This window comes from Homo sapiens, chromosome 8, assembly GCF_000001405.40.
Source record: "Homo sapiens chromosome 8, GRCh38.p14 Primary Assembly".
Taxonomy (NCBI): domain Eukaryota; kingdom Metazoa; phylum Chordata; class Mammalia; order Primates; family Hominidae; genus Homo; species Homo sapiens.
Genome location: NC_000008.11, coordinates 95301120 through 95318614, shown reverse-complemented (window position 1 = coordinate 95318614; position 17495 = coordinate 95301120). Strand labels below are relative to the sequence as shown.

The following is a 17495-nucleotide window of genomic DNA, read 5'->3' as shown; positions in this document are numbered from 1 at the left end:
AATGATACAGGTCACAGGTCAAGTCTAAAGGCCTGAGAACCAGCAGCAGAGGGAATAGGGAGCTGGCGTTGGCTACTGGGGTAAGCCCTGGAGTCCAAAGGCCTGAGAACAAGGTGCTCCGATGTCCAAGGGCAGGAGACGATAGATGTCCTGGCTCTAGAAGAGTAAATTTGCCCACTCTCCACCTTTCTGTTCTATTCAAGCACTCAATGAATTGGATGATAGCTGCCCACATTGGGGAGAATGGATCTTCTTTACTCAGTCCACAGATTCAAATGCTAATCTCTTCTAGCAACGCCCTCACAGGCATACCCAGAAATAATGTTTTATCAGCTATCTGGGCATCATTTTACCCAGTCAAGTTGACACCTTAAATTAACCATCACAGTTGCTGTCTTTCATGAAAGGAGAACCATCACATCCATGTTCAACAACTAACTAGAAAAAGTTATCAGGCCTTTGCCTGAACCTACAAGAAAGTTGAGAACAAAGAGCTACAGTTGTTGCTTAGAAAATTTTTTAGATCATCTAAGAAGACAAAACCATTTTATTGTTCTCAAATAAAAAGATCTGTTTGCCTCAGACTATCATTTAAACAGAGTTTTTGGCTCAGTGGTGTACAGTCATTTGGTTTACCTTTCAGTAATATCCTGATGTCAAAAGGTAAGGAACAGGCTAACATTTTCAAACAGCGCATGGAAGGTTTGAGTCATATTGTTCCCTTTGTCAGAATCTGGAAGATCTTGACTTTCCTGCAGTTTCCTTTAGCCTTTTTGTAGTGTGGAGGATCTGATTCTTGGTGAGCTTCTGATTATTAAGTTGTTTGGTGTTTTTTTACACCACTGTGACCCACAGTCTCTGTGCAGGCCATATGGCTGATAAGAAACAGTATGTCCCTTGTTGCATAATTTCCTATCCGAAGTCATGCCAGGAAGACAAGATATGAAAGTTAAACAGACTGGAACTCTTCTACCCTGCTGATAAGAATGTAAATAGGTACAACCAGCTTGGGAAAATGTTTGCCTGGCAGTGCCTACTAAAGCCAAACACGTGTATGCCTGTGATATAGTCTTTCTTCTCTTGGGAATATCTCAAACAAAAATCAGTGGTTTCAAACACTAAAAGACTTGTATAAGATTGTCACTAGCAGCTTTATTGTAGAAAGTCATTACTGGACACAACCAAAGTGTTCATCATCCATAGACTATGACATGGCAATAAAGAAAAAACTACTGATACTCTCAACATCATGGATAAATATCACAGATATAATGTGCTTCCCTATCATGTCAGTAGCCTGCTCAAGGAGCTACAGGAGCCTCAGGTTGTCTTTCCTATGAGATATAAATGTGCCTTCACTGTCCCAGTCCCAAGGAATCAAATTCTTCTCTTGATTCACCCCATGAAGACCCCTCCCTTGCAGCCAGGGAAGTATCTCCTATGTTAGTCTTATTCACTTTCATTATTTGGAGTCAAGTAACCCTAAATTCTACTATCACCTCTAATATTCTTTGCATAACCCTAGTCTTAGTTTCCTCCTCCCAAATAAAGCAAAAAATTCCTACCACATTGTAAATTAATAAAGGAGATTTAATTTTTGAAGACAGTGGTAAAGCACTAGCACAGTGTCAGGCACGTATGACTGCTCAACAATAATTAGTTTTCTCACCTACCTGGCTTTTCCATTCGCATTTCTTCTCAGCCATCTTCCAGCCTGGAATTAGCACTTCCCACCAACAACTCCATAAACTCCCCTCTAAGAAACATGCCCTGACAAAACCAACTCTGTCTCCACTTTGATTTCCACATAATCTGCATTATCTATAGTCTAAACTAACTACAAATATGCATGCTTTATCTGTAAATACTTCCTTTATCACATCCCTCATTCAGGCCCCATCCTGGAACCCAGAAATGTACACACAATGAATTCTCAATCACATGTGGGCAATTTTAATTGTTAGGTATGGGAAGAACTGGTGAAAATGCTGCATGATGGTAACAACTACCTGTTAGGCTGACTTAAAAAGAAGGATTTAGACATGTTAATAAACGATCTACACTTCGGTAACTATTAGTCATGCTTGCCCAAGCAACTCAAGAGTAAGGAAAATATCCATTTTACTAAATTACAAGACTAAAGAACTATTAGGATAATTATCCCATAACAAATGCCAGAAATAAGTGGTTATATTGACTTAATTTTATAGACACTTTCCAAAGTATATATTCTAGCCTTACCAAAAAAAGGGCAGTACCATTGCTCAGATTTTACTAATCCATGAGCCCCTGGGAAGAAAGCCCTAGGTTTATCCTATAATGGCAGCTGGCCACTTTTTCTGTGGACATAAAAGAAATTCAATTTCTCCGGACACTTTTTTCCTCTGCTACCAATGAGCTCCAGGGACTGGTAAACTCCTAAAGGAAAACTATTAAAAAAAAAAAAAAAAAAAACCATAATCCAGAAAAAACAAAATCTAGCTAGTTAAACTATCACCAATAAGAAACATAAACAGGAACCATTTTCAGTTGCTTGGAATCAAAAGCTCAATTTTTAAAAAGCTTCAAAACAAGAGTTTACTGTTTCCCGGACATCTGCAGTTGAAAAAACACAAAAACAGTTCTGGAAAGTGCTATGGTTTACTTCATACTGAGTGATTCCCAGGTGCAGAGGGGACTACTGGGGCAGAATAAAAAATGAAATGAGCATGAAGCAAAAGTTTTTCAGAGCCACATTCATATGCACCTTTCTCCAACCTGGTTGGTGACTCTTCAGGTATAAATGTGGCATGGGGTGGATTGTTCGAGAACAGCCTTATCCTTGGGAGAGTTTAATGTACATTTCCCTCTGCCAGGCTCCACACAGACTTCTAACTTGGGGATCCTTGGAAGAAGGGCCTGGCTTAATATAATTTGTCATTGTCCCCATGTCTGGAACAGCAGGCAGATTCAAAACCTTTAAGATGGGGAGTGCCACAGCTTTAGAAGCAGAACTGCCAACCAGCTGTGTATGTGCCTCAGACTGTGGAACAAGCAATAAAAAGAAAAAAGGAAGAAGAAAATTGCCAACTTCTTGCAACATGGAGCCAGAACTCTCAGAGCCAAGCTGGTCATTTTTCCACCCAGCCAGCCCCAAGGTTGGCATCTGACATCAGTGTGGAGAATGACATCAGAGAGTCTCCAGTCACCTGCCTGCCTGACAGGCTTGCTCAAGAAATGCCATGAGAGCCAGCAAAGATGCAAGGAGGAGAGGAGGTGAGAGGAGGTGAAAGGAGGACTGATGTCGGTCAAAGTTCCCTTGCTTTTTGTTAAACAGACTACTGTTTTGACCAACAATGTAGAGCTAGTTTTGCAGAACAAGATGAAAGAACAAAGCATTTTTATTTTGGAGTTCAGAAGGAAAAAATAAGACTAGCAAATTTAGATTTAGTTTCCTGATTTGCAAGCAAGGAAAACTGACCTTGGCTAGTGTTATGGACTGTAAGTTTGTGTCCTCCCCCAGAGTAAGTTCATATGTTGAAGCCGTAACCCCACAGTGTGGACTGTATTTTGAGTAAGGAAGTAATTAAGGTTAAATGAGTTCGTAAGAGTGGGACCCTGATCCAACAGGATTAGTGTTCTTATAAGAAGAGACATCGGGGAGCTTGCTCCCTCATGCATGCTCTGTCCTTTCTCCTCTCTTCCCACATACATGCACAGAGGTTTCTTTTGGCCATGAGAGGCCAAAGTGGCCATCTGCAAGCAGGGAACAGAGCCCTCACAAGAAACCATAACACAAACTTACAGTCTACAGCCCCTGCTGGAACGTCAATCTTGGACTTTCAGCCTCCAGAACTGTGGGGAAATTAATTTCTGTTGTTTCAGCCTTGCAGTCTGTGGCAGCCTGAGCAGACTAATCCAGATGGCTAACTCCAGCCAAGTGAAATGAGGGGCTTGAGGAACTGACCAGAAGCTGCAGAGCCAGCCTGGAAGCAGGCAGAATCCAAGCCAGCTCCAGAGAACCAGGAATCAAGAACTAAGCACTGGTCAGGGCACCACCACTGAACTACAGAAATTCCAACTGTTTCTCTCATTTTTCCATCACTCACTCAAAATTCAAAGTCCCAGGAAGATGTGTCTGATTTCTAAGCTTTGGTGATATGCCACACCCATACCCTACCCCAGGCTATGCCAGGATAGGGAGAGAAAAAATCTTGTCCTTTTCACTTCCATAACAGCTAACTGACATAGGGATTGTCCCAAGACATCACAGTGAGCAAAGCCTTGCCTCAAAAGGAAATCAGGATGTTTCTAGGAAGGACGAATGAATGCTAGGTAGTATAAACATTTCAAATGTCCATTACACTAATGATCATTACAAATTCCATCATTCTCCTGGTATGCATACTGTGTGTACCTAGGATAGATTTCTGTGGCTATAGATTCAGGAACAGTGAATCCCAGAGGGGCACCTGCCCACAGGCAGAACGACAGGGTTGGACTTTCCCTCTGAGATCCAGACCTACACAGCATCTGTCCATGTAGCTAACTTCCTGATGTCAGGACTATCTACATAGTATTTGGCAGTCCTTGATCAAAATATTGATAAAAAGAAATGTCACTGACTACTCTATACTGTCATTCATTCATCAGTTCCATCACATTCTAAATACCTTCTGATTGTCCAATTATGTTTGTTGAACAGCTGTTGTCTATCATGCTTTTTGCAAGGAGTTTTATCCACACCAGCTTATTTATTCTTTAAAATAGCCCATGAAGTCAAAAAGGTCAACACTGAGGAACAGAGAAGGTAACAAAATAGTAGTCTAGTTCCTATCCTCTATGACCTTGGAAAACAACAAAAACTACAAATTACATAAACACAAAATAACCAGAGGGTAAATAAGCGACCTATGAAGAAGTAGGAAATTGGTGTAAACTAATTGTACCAGTACCAATAAAAGTGGAAAATACCTGGTTTAAGGTCTTGAATCTGCCACTTGACCTCAGACAAGTAATGTCTTTTCTGGGACTCAATTTCCTCAACTGTTCAGTAAGGCATGTATTAAATCACCTATATGGGGACTTGCAGCTTAGAGAGGATGTCATTCAATGCCTCCTAATGAGTTGAGTAAACAGAGTGGTGTGGAATTAGTCAGGAAAGGTTTCTTGAAAGGGGAGACATTTTCAACCTCTTCTCTGCCCGCCTAGAGGCCAAGTCCAGTGATTGCAGCTCAGCTCAGGCCTTACCCTACTTGACACATCTGTTGCCTCTGCACTGCTGACTGGTCTACCTTGCTTCACATTTCCTCCTCCTTCATGTCCCTGCAGCTCTCTTCTCCTGGTTCTCTTCTTGCTCCCCGTTCTCTTCTTGCTCCCTGGACTCCCCTCTTCTGGCTCCTCTTCCTCAATGTACCCTTAATGCCAATGATCCTGAGATCTGTCTTTGGCTTTTCTCTTATTCTTCCACATATTCTGACAATTTCATCCATACCTGCAGCTTCAAATACTAATTGCACAGAGCCTTATCTTTCTCTTTAATGGAGATACCTTCCCCAAATTCTGGATTCATTTATCAACCTTTATCAACCACCTACTAGATAACATGTTCTCAAAGGCCTTGACTGCCCAGGTTCAAAACTGAACTCGGAATATCCCCATCCACAACCTTGCTTTTGCCCTGGTTCCATGAATGATGCTGCAATCTACCCAGGCATCTGGAAGTCATCAGACCTCCCTTACATCACTGGTCATTAGGTCCTATCATTCTGCCTTCAACATGTCTCACAAGTCCTACCCCACCTTTTCATCCCCACTGTAACATCTCAGGATAAAGCCTCAGCATCCATCTCTCCTGATCACCCTGCCTTCCCATTCCGAACACACCAGAGTAGTCTTTCTAACATTTAATCATGACCCCCTCCCCACCAGCTCAATATCCTTCATATGTCAAACGCTGATGGGATAAAATTCGAACTCCTTTACAAGGCAAATTAGATCTCTGTACCTGCCCCCACCGGAGCTTGTATTGCCCTGAACTGTGCTGTAGCTGCTTGACTGTGTCTATCTCATCATCATATGCCCACTGCTTAGCACGATGCCTGAACATAGGGGCTCAAGAAACTACTAATAAATGAATTAGCAAATACCTAAAATACCTAAAGTTTCCTCACAAAATTTCTCCCTTTATACAATATTTCATTTTTGATAAAATGATATCAGTAAAGATATATTCAATTTTATTTTATCTTAGAGTTTTAAATCAGCTAGTGAGCATCAAATTCAGTGGTTCCGAATCTTGGGTGCACATTAGAATCAGCCGCAGAGATTTTAAGCTGGCTTCCATCCAGACCAATGGAATCAAAATTCAGCCTTTGTATTCACTGTGGCCATTTGAGTGATTTCATTGGAAAAAGAAAATAGAGATAACATTAAAGAGATTCACATCATGCTTGATGCAGAAGATTTTATACATGGTATCTTATTTACTCTTTAAAAGAACCCATGAAGCAAGATTCTCTATTTATTGGGCACTTGAAACACAGAGAGATTAATTTACTTGAATGGGGTCACCCAAGTCGTATGTGGTGGGTCTAGAATTCTAATCCAAAGCTACTTCCAAAGAACATGTACTTCCTTCTGCCTGATAAGCCTCCATGTAGGCAGTGCAAAACGTGTCAGAGGAGGGAGACAGGGAAAGAAGAACAGCATTTGCAGACACTAGATTTGAATGTGGGAACGACCCACAGTTTCAACACCACACAGTCGCCTTGAGTCCAGTGTGGTAAGAGTGAACCATCCATGGGCATACTGGCTTGAAGTTTTACATAAACGTTACCATTTGGCAAACACCTAAGCAATCATTGTTCCAGGCAAGAACTATAGATGCTAAAATGAGAGAATGAATGGGAAAAGGGAGACTTATATAGTCTCAAAGTATCCACCACGGGATATTCTTTTAAAGAGAAAGTAGTAACTTTATAGTGGAGAAGTCTGGCAGACCCCGCCTTAACTGACTGAGCAAAGTTTCATTTGAGTAATAAGACAAATTGAGATTATGCACCTCCTGACATAACATGCTGAGAAAGCCACAGCATCTCGTCCATGGCCCGCTTGCCAAAGATGCACAACTTTAAGTATGAAGAAACATCAGATAAACCCAAATTAGGAGAAAATCTACCAAATAATTTCAAAAAGGGTAAGAGAGACCACAGAACTGTTCCATATTAAAGAAAACTAAGAAAATATAGCTAAATGCAAATGTGTAGTCCTAAATTAGATACCGCCCAGAAAAAGGTCATTAGTAAGACAGTGTGTGAAATCTGGATAAAGTATGCAGATTAAGTAGTATTATAGTAATGTTAATTTCCTGCTTTTTATTATTATATTGTGGTTATACAATAAATCAATATTTTGGGAATTTGGATGAAGGGTATGTGGAACTTCAAACTATTTTTGCAGCCATGTTGAAAAATTTTAGACTTATAAAATTTAAAAGTTTTTAAAAATTAAAAAGTGAAAATGTGTGACAAAGTTATGAGACTGGATTTCATCCATGAATCTGAAGACAATTCTAAAAGCAGTACCAAATTATTTTGAGTGTTATGCGTGGCACTTGCCTCTCAAGATACTTTTTAATGAGACAGGGTTATTTTGCATGCATAAAATGTCACACTTGTTACATTACCAGTCTCATTTCATTAAAATTCTATACTTAAACCTCTATAGAATGTTTCTCACTATCCACTTCACCAGATGTCATTTGACACGTAAGAATCTGAGTGACTCCCACAGCTCACAAGGCCATAAACAGCAGAGACGGAACTGGAAGCAGGTGTCTGCTCCAGCTTCAGGGCTCCTTCCACACTGAGCTACACTGCCTTGCAGATCTTCTAAAGTTCACCCAAGACCCACAATTCAAGAAGTCAGAGAGACCAAAGAAGCTGAAGTCGAGGGAAAGCATGATAGACTCCATATCTATGAATTACTATACTGCAAGGTTCATAAACATCTCTCTCTCAAGTTAACGTTATAAAGTATATTCATTAAATATTTTACCTTTTGGGTTGGGGGGAAGCTAATCTGTCCTTTCTCCCGAGACCTTTAATAATAGTGATAAGAATAGTTAACATTTGTTGAGCAATTACTATTGCCAGTTATTGTTCCAAGTTCTTTTTTTTTTTTTTTTTTTTTGAGATGGAGTTGCGCTCTGTCGCCCAGGCTGGAGTGCAGTGGCGCGATCTCGGCTCACTGCAAGCTCCACCTCCTGGGTTCACGCCATTCTCCTGCCTCAGTCTCCCGAGCAGCTGGGACTACAGGCACCCATCACCATGCCCAGCTAATTTTTTGCAATTTTTTTTTTTTTTTTTTTTTTTTAGTAGAGACAGGGTTTCACCATAGCCAGGATGGTCTCGATCTCCTGACCTCGTGATCCACCCGCCTCAGCCTCCCAAAGTGCTGGGATTACAGGCGTGATTTAATCCCAGAAACAACCCTGTGTTGTAGATGTATTATTCTAGTTTTATAGATGAGGAAACTAAGTTACTGAGAGTTTGAGCAAGTTGCCTACAATCATATAGCTGAGGGATGAAAAAATTGGTCCAGGATCTTTTTTAGCATTTCCAGGATGCTTTTGCGTCTCCTACAGGCACTCTCAAAAGTTCTCTATTTGCACACATCTAGTCCACATCCCTTTCTTAACACTGCCTTCCATCACCACAGGCTCCTTTGAGATCTTTAGGGGAACTTGTTTCAAATAGTAAAATACAGATCATCATTTTGTCAAATACACTAATAGTGCTCATTCTGCCTAAAAGACCACACCTGAGAAAATGAGAGGCAAGGACAAGATAAAAGGAAGAGGGTCTGGTCCCTACCCTTAAGGTGTTTAAAATCTCCGCAAAGAACACCTTTAAAAATTAACTTGAAATTTTTCACTATCCTAAGAAAAGGCAGTGACTCTCCTCTCTGTTCATAGGGATTTGATGGGATATACATTTTATCCTATATCAGCCACTGCTGGATACTAATCCTACACTTACCAATGGTCAGGATACATAATGAGAGAGGGATCTGGTCAAAAATAATTGATTTACTTATTCAAAATGGTCCAGATTGTAAGAAACTTCTCAAATGAGATATAGTTAATTTTATAAGTCATCTGACTATGTCTCTTCAACAAGAGTATTTTCTTCTTGTCACACAGAGATATTATTGACTACACAGTGGTAACAATGGGAGTGAAGAGATTCATGGGGAGCCTACCCCTCTGATCAACAGCAGCAAGCTCTTTCTGGGGTTGGCAAACCTGCCAACAGCCTCTGAGGAAATCAGACCCTCACTCTTGACCTTGTCAGTTCTCGACTCTTCAATTCAGAGGCTGATTGGCCAATCTAGGACCTTTTGGGGCAGGATCATCTTCTGTATTCTGCTACATGTTATTTTCCTGTGCAAACTCATTTCAATCAAGTCTTCAGAGATTCCCCATACTATGGTGAAGCATTTCTTGGGCAGGATGCCTTCTAACAGATGGCAGCACAGAAAGCAGATTTTGAATTCTTTTTTGAAGATACACAAAACTTTCCAGGTATTTGCAGAAAAAAGAGAATCTCAGCATTTCTTATAATCCCACACAGCATTAAATGTTGAGTAAGACAGAATATTTGGGCCATCAGGCTTTGCTACTGCTATCTCTATAGAGTCAGGAAACCTTGAAGTTTAAGGCATAACTCCTTTTGTCTGCTACACACACACATTGTACTTCCCATTTTCTCTTCTGATTTACATTGAAATTCAGATAGAAATTCTGAGACAGTAAACCTCATAAGAATGGGGAAGGGGTGGTAATGCTAGTATAATATTAAGAATCATGAGCCCGTATACCAATTTTATTATTATATAGTATATTTGTAGACATTTCATAAGTTTGAAAAAAGCTTAGCTTATCAATGCTGGAAATCTTTCTTAACTTCGATATAGAGAATAATTTGCTATGATGTGGGGTGGGAAATGAGGCCACTCAGGGGCTTTTAGATGTGACTCGTAAATCAGAATAGCTTTTCTGATTCCTCTGTTATCTTTTGATGGGCCAGGGCTACAAGCATTCACTATGGAGAGTTTTTTGTTGTGGTTTTTTTGTTTTGTTTTCTTTGAGATGGAGTCTCCCTCTGTCACTAGGCTGGAGTGCAGTGGCGCGGTCTCGGCTCACTGCAACCTCCACCTTCTGAGTTCAAGCGATTCTCCTGCCTCAGCCTCCCAAGTAGCTGGGACTAGAGGTGCGCGCCGTTACACCCTGCGAATTTTTGTATTTTTAGTAGAGATGGGGTTTCACAATGTTGGCCAGGATGGTCTCGATCTCTTGACCTCATGATCTGCCCACCTTGGCCTCCCAAAGTGCTGGAATTATAGGCATGAGCCACCATGCCCAGCCTTCACTATGGAGAGTTTGTAAGTCAAAATCTCTACTGAACTCCTCTTCCTGCCACAGCCAAATCTCCTCCAGACACAGCAGACCCACAGAAAATGTCCCTAAGAGGTGAATGGTACCAAAAGCAAAGGCTAATGTTGATGGTTCAGTCTACCTACAACATAACAAAGACGTGCACACACGCGCGTGCGTGCACACACACACACACATTCCTCCTCTGGAAGATGGAGTCAGATTGAAATATGCTTCCAGCGGGCTATTTAACCACACCATGTTTAGAATCTTTTCAACCTGTCTAAAGTCCAGAGAAGAAGTTATTACTGAAAAAAATCAATATCTAAATACTTTCATATTTTTAAAATCAACTAAATTTTAAGTACCTTTTAGTCTCTCTTCTTCCTATGAATGGTGTCTTTCTGCCTGCCTTGGACACCCTTTCACATTCAAGAATCAGCTCACATAGGAACAGAAAACCAAATACCACATTCTCTCACTTATATAAGTGGGAGCTAAATGATGAGAACACATGGATGCATAGAAGGGATCACCACACACTGGGGTCTACTGGATGGCAGAGCGTGGGAGGAGGGAGAGGATCAGGAAAATTAGGCTTAAAACCTGGGTGATGAAATAATCTATACAACAAACTCCATGACACATGTTTACCTATGTAACAAACCTGCACATCCTGCACTTGTACCCCTGAACTTAAAAGTTAAAGAGATTATACAACAGGAAAACATGTTACAAAAAAAATTTTTGAAAAAGTTATATTTTCTATAAAATGGACTTCTTCCTCTCTCTCAAAAAAAAAGAATCTGCTCACAAACGATACCTGCTGATCAAGCCATGAATCTGAAAGTCAGATGAATGTCTTCCCTCCTTTATTTCCCAAGTTCTTACCATTTTTTCAGGGGAGGGGGGCCTTCCCTTCTTCCCATCATCTCACCCAGACCTACTGTTCATGCTCTAATCCTCTGGTCTTTTCCCTTCTTGGCAGAGTCATTCTAATTTTCATAATTTATGTAGAAACTGGTAGACGGTAGATCACAAAAGAACCCTAGATCCCTGTGAATCATGGTAACCAGTCATTATTATAATCTTGTCACAGACATAAACAGAAAACCTTCCAGCTAGTATCTGTTTCTTTTCACATAATCTTCCACAGATCCTTACAGCTTCTCAGAGTTAATTCGGAGATTCTACAGAATACTATCTGCACAGAAATAAAGAAGAAACTAAGACACCACTCTATATCATACCTCATTTTTATCTGGGCTTTTATTAGAGTTCCTCCTAAATTTCATCTGGTTTAAAAAAAATAACAACACTGGTTTAAGAAAAGGTCTGAAAACAACTTATACTCCAGCTTTCCAATTTTACACATGAAGAAACTGAGGCCCAGAGAAGACAAAGGAACAGGATGAAAAGCCAGGAAGTTCTTGAGTATCTACACAGCAAGACCTTGGTACAAGCAAATGTTTATAAAGATTATAACTAGCCTTGGATTGGAGCTGATGTCAAAGATTCATAGACTTTTACAATCTTGGGTTGGTGGGTATATAAAGACCTCTGGGGTCCCTCTGAATACACCCTCTCCATGGCAGCCCCCATGAAGCAGCCTAATACTGAGCTGACTGCTTTGGGAAATCTTAGTATACTCCCCAGAGCTCTAGCTTCCTATATAAGGTTGTCCAACAAATCCTCCTCTGTAGTAGGGAACAGCTAAAAATAGCCCAGATGTATATCCATGGACAATGGAATATTTTACAGCAATAAAAAAGAATAAGAAAACACTGTAGTACTAAAATAGAATTATCTCCAAGATATAATCATATTACAACCATAAAGCTAAGATGATGCGTAATTTGTAGAATGCATAAAATACTTCTAGAAAGCTGTGGGGAGGGGAAATTGGTGCCTGGTAGAAAGGGGTGGAAGACTTATAAACTTCTTTGCATCTTCTGATTTGAATCACATGAATGTATTCCCTGACGGAAAAATAACTTTGTTTTAAATTAAAATGCCCCAATTTCAAAACCTGCGTTGGGTTTTTGTTTCTGTATCTGTGACTCTTAAAATCTAAGATTTGTTTTCTATTTTCCATGGGTACCTCAATTTCCCTTCCTTGACAAAAAGAACTGTTTGTCCCTTCTTCATTTGATTTTATAATAAACTTGCTGCTGGCTTTAAGTTCAATTGCCCGACATGCAATAAAGCATCCAAGTATCCAATAAAGTCAGCATAAAAGATAGCTTCTTCCTGACATTTAAAAACACTCAGCTTTCATGCCTCTGGCTCCCCCGCACCCCCAATATAAGGCTGCCAGATCCTTCTTTTGGTGCCCTGTCCAAATACATCATAGTCACACAACGGTCATGTCTGAGACATTTTTCCAGGGACGTTAGGGTCCAGTACTTCACAAACACCTAGTTAGAACTGATCCCCTATCCTTCAAGCTAAAACTTCCTTCTTTAGCTAATCACATCTCAAGAACAACCGAGATCTTACATTTATGAGTAATCAATTTCTCAGCAAGTATTACTGTAGCTAAAATAGGTGTATTATATTCCATACTTCATGTTCCAATAACTTTTCATGAATGGGAGGTGCAGGAGGCCTGGGAATCTCACCCTGCAGTGCCCCCTACTGGTCATTTTGAGAAGCGGCTAAAAGGGAATGAGGGGAAGGGCACTGGCTTTCTAGACGGTGCTGTGGGAATAATCTACATGGGAGGGTTTTGTTTTATTTCCATACACCTTTCAAATTGGGTATCATTTTGGTCCATATGCCATCCTGGTTACAAGCTTACAGAGAATGTCTGTGACTCACGTTGGTGACGACCCAGTGTCAACAGAAGGGAAAGGCACTTCCACCTCCAGGGAAAGTAGAAGAGGACCCTCTAAGGAGGGACGCAGAGCGCCTTGAATCTCCACAGGCACTGCCCCGCCTCACTCCTGGCCCTAGACGGGGTGGCCACAACTGGACATAGTGTGAGTTTCATCTGCCAGAAACTATGCTGAATTTCTGTTGGATTTTTTTCCCTCTCATGAATTTTCCGTCTCTTTCAACACGCAGATAATTCTGGGAGAGTTAACTGCCTTGGTTTTGCATTTGTTTTAATGAGATTTCCTTGAAGAAGATTAGTTTTGTCTGACAACTAGTGAAAAACAACTTAGTTTGGAGTTAGATGGGACTAAAAGAGTTAAGACTTTTATTAAGGAGTTTGGGACATGGACAAGGGAAGCCCAAAGGCCTCCAGGTATCCAGGGGAAGCAGAAGGATCCTGAAGGAAGTGCCTGCAGTCCTGGCCATGAGAACACTTAACCTTATCTTGGTGAGGCAGGATGTTCAAATGGGACTCTTCCCATCTTAACATTTTGGCCATGCCCCAAAGCTGAGACAACAGATGTCAAGGCCTTCTCTTCAGGATTTGGAAGGGAGTGACCGAAAACATTGTTCTTCCAGTGGGAGCCCACCATGCACCTCCTGACAATATTAAAGAAATATAGAATTCATCAGGAAGACAGAAGTTAGGAGGTAGTTGGGATTTTCTCTGAAGAGAGTTATGGGTGTCCAAGAGTCCCCAAGGACAAGGAGAAGGTGGTGCTTCCCCCTCCTAATGCCAAGAGGGCTCTTCAAGAGGGCAACTTGGAGAGTTTTCTGTTTGTTCCCTGGAGATTGTGGACTAAAACCTGACTCGTCCCTCTAGTGTTGAAGATGAAAAGCTGGCTGGAATGGCTACCCGGTAGCAAAGAGGCAGAATGAAGGGAACAGCCAGGCTTTCCAGCGTTGAGTGGGAAACAGACATCCACAGAGTTCTCACTAGGCAACTGGAAACCCCATGGAAGAGAACCAGACTCTGGTTATCTTAAATGGATCCCCTGGAGGGATAAGGTGACCCCAACAGAGAGACAGACTGCCAGGAGCCAGGGGCTGAGGGGAGAGCCACAGATGTCCAACTGCAGGAGTAACTGCCCACATTAAGCGAATTGCATGTAGAAAAATGCTAAGACCAGAGTCCCTGAAAACTCACTGCAAACTCCCTCTGCCCACCAAGAGTAAGCACTAACACTGCATCATCCAAGCCGCCTCAGTGGCAGGTTACTACTGTCCTGCCAAACAGGACTTTCCCAGCCCCTTCACCTTCCCTTTCACCTCCACCTCCATCCAGGGCAGCAGAGTGAGTGGTGCAGAAGTAGAACAAGTTAGGGAAAGAGGCCCCAGCCATGCCTTTCCCCAGTTCCACATAGGCTTCAGCCCAGAGAGCCTGCGCTGAGGAAAAGGAAAAGCTTGGCTTCACCCGAACTTTGCAACCACGGTGATTATTCATTTATTTATCATTAAAAGAGAAAGAGAAACCTAGGCTCAGATCCCAGAATACCACTGCAGTTTGGTAATGATGCTGGAATACATTTTGTGTATGCCTATAGGTGGATCAAAAAACAAAAGACAAACTCCTGAGACCCCATGAGACATCCAATTTAATCTTCTAGGAAATAGGACTTTGGAAGCATAACGACTAATATTTAAATGGCACTCTACAAACCACATTCGCATACATTAGTAGTACATTTAATTCCCATAATAATCCCCATTTCAAAGATGAGAGAAATCAAGGTTCAGAGAACTAACTTGCCCCAGGATCAAGCACACTAGTGAGGGAATTTGAACCTAACCTATCTGACTTCAGGCTACTGACTCTGAAAACCATTTGTAAAACTCAGTCTGTAGTTTTGTGGGAAATTTCTGAAAATTTCAATGGATAAAAAGTGTTAATGCCCCCCACCATGCCCCACAAAAATTCATGTATTGAAATCCTCAACCCCAAGGTGATGGTATTAGGAGGTGGATCTTTGAAAGGTGATGGTATTAGGAGGTGGATCTTTGAAAGGTGATTAGGTCCCTTATAATGGGATTATTGCCTTTATAAAAGAGTCCTAAGTGAGATCTCTTGTCCCTCCTGCCATGTGGAGTTACAGCAAGACCATCCATCCATGAACCAGGAAATGGGCCTCCACCAGACACCAAATCTGCCACTGCATTGATCTTGGACTTCTCAGTTTCCTGAGAAATAAGAAATTTCTGTCGTTTCTAAGCCACCCAGTCTATAGTAGTTTGTTACAGCAGCCTGAATAAACTAAGACACAAAGAATCTCATGTTTTATTTCCTAGCTACTAATCCATAAATGTAACCTACTGGTTAACTATTAGATGCCTAACCCACCAGCCAATAAATACCCCTTTAAAACTAGCCTAAAAATATTGATTTTCTTGTGCTTTCTTGAATACCCTAAAACACATTTTTCCTTGAGAAGCGGTCAGCTTCAACTATCTAAAGAGAACTAGAAGATCCCTTTTACCTGGTCAAGCTCTTGACCTCTAATCCTGCCCATCCAGTCTCTCGATAATTTCACTGCACAGGCATATGTGACATCCTGTGTGCCGCCTTTGTCCATAACCCACAACCCACAGTAGGCTGCGGTGGTTCCTCAAAGCTGAGACAGGGTACTTTCATTCTAACAAATCCCAGCACGTGCTCCCCTAACATGTCTGTTTTACTAATTTTACATTATATACAATTTTTCATTTTAACCTAAAACAAAGCTTTCAGTTTTTCTCAAATAGCATGGCAGGTTTCATTAAATCAGATTATTGCCCAGTTCCCCCTTCTCTTTCATCAAAAGAAGGGAAGATAGAAGCAGAAGAAAAGTAGAAACAGTCCAAGGCAGTAATATAGCAAAGTGAAAAAATGTAAAGGAAGTTTAACTCTCATCCCTCCTCCTAGAGATCCAAGGTCTCAGAGACAGAACAGCAGCTTTTCTTTTTGCACCTCACACATTGAGAGAGACTAGACTTCACTTCCTGGCAGCCCTTTCCATTCCCATTTCACAGCAACGGCTGTAGACACAGCATTTCTATCTTAGTTACACCAACCTTTTGAGTTCTGAGCAGAGCACTAAAGACTCACGATGTGTTTAAGGCCAAGGTCGCTTGGGGACCAAGATAGAGAACCCAGAAACATGTTTGGAACTTCAAAAATGCTGGGGAGGTTGGGAGGCCTAGGAAGTGGGGGTGCAGGATTCACTGCAGTTGCCTCCATCCCCACCCTTCCACCACTAGCCTTAGATAAGCAGACAAGGGTTCCAGTCCTGGCTTTGCCTGGGACCTTGGAATAGCTCTGGCCCGAGATAAGCCTGAGAAGGGCTAGAGTTTGGAATGGTGGGTTTGTCTGCTTCATAGGAGTCCTTAAACCTGGGCCCAGGCATTTTCCTCCTGTCGGCCCCCAAGAGCAAACCCCAAACGAGCTGACTTCCTAGTGCATTGTAAGCACACCTGAGAGAAATCACAAGCATACTCTGAGAACAACCTCATATGGCAGACGCACCCGAATGTGTTCCGAGATAGGGAATCCGTAAGTCACCAACCCGGAGATTCATTCCTTGTCTGTTAGGAACATCTGAGCCCTCAGGCCGTCCCGTGGAACATTGGCCCTATGGGGGATGGAGGCCCTGAGTTTGGGGGTGGGGAGTGCGGTACATGAAAGCTACCAGGTGGAGATCATTAAGGAGAGGGTGTTAAATGAAAATGCTGTATAAACTGAATGCTGTTTGCAAGCAATTGTGGTTTTCCTGCCCAGCCTGCTGCCACTGGACCATACGTACAGTGGTTATATTGTCCAGCCCACCACCACTGGATTGTTTCTATAGGTAAGGTGTCCAGCTCGCCACCACTGGACCCTCTCCCCTGTAAGTAAGTCCCAGTAAAACCCCCAAGTCACATTTGCTAGCTCTAGGTCTCTTCTTTGGCCTCTTGAACTTGGTGCCTTCTCTATTGAGGTTAATAGGGGTTCAGCACAACACCTAGGCTTCCAGCACACCTCCCCATCACACCCCCCACCTCTTCTCCCCCATCAGATCCTGATTCTTTCCCTCAGCCTCAGAGTTCTGAACCCTGGCCCTATCCTCTAGCTATCAGCCCCAACTCTTGCCCACTGATATTTGAAGGTCTTCTTACCTCTCCTGCAGTTGCCGTTGTTCTCCCATAGATCCCTCTGTGGTCCCTCCATCGGCAAGTTCTTCCACGGCCT

At 41.9% G+C, this 17495-nt stretch overlaps 1 long non-coding RNA gene across 9 annotated transcripts in view; it reads right to left on the bottom strand.

Moving 5' to 3' along the window:
* CFAP418-AS1 (CFAP418 antisense RNA 1) overlaps positions 1–17495 on the bottom strand; it is a 541308-nt gene that overhangs the window by 491529 nt on the left and 32284 nt on the right. For 3 of the 9 annotated variants that reach the window (NR_038201.1, NR_038203.1, NR_038208.1), the window contains exon 2: positions 17423–17493. The exons of the other annotated variants lie outside the window; for them this stretch is intronic. This is a non-coding gene — a long non-coding RNA (CFAP418 antisense RNA 1). The remainder of the gene's footprint in view (positions 1–17422; positions 17494–17495) is intronic. 9 annotated transcript variants of the gene reach the window in all.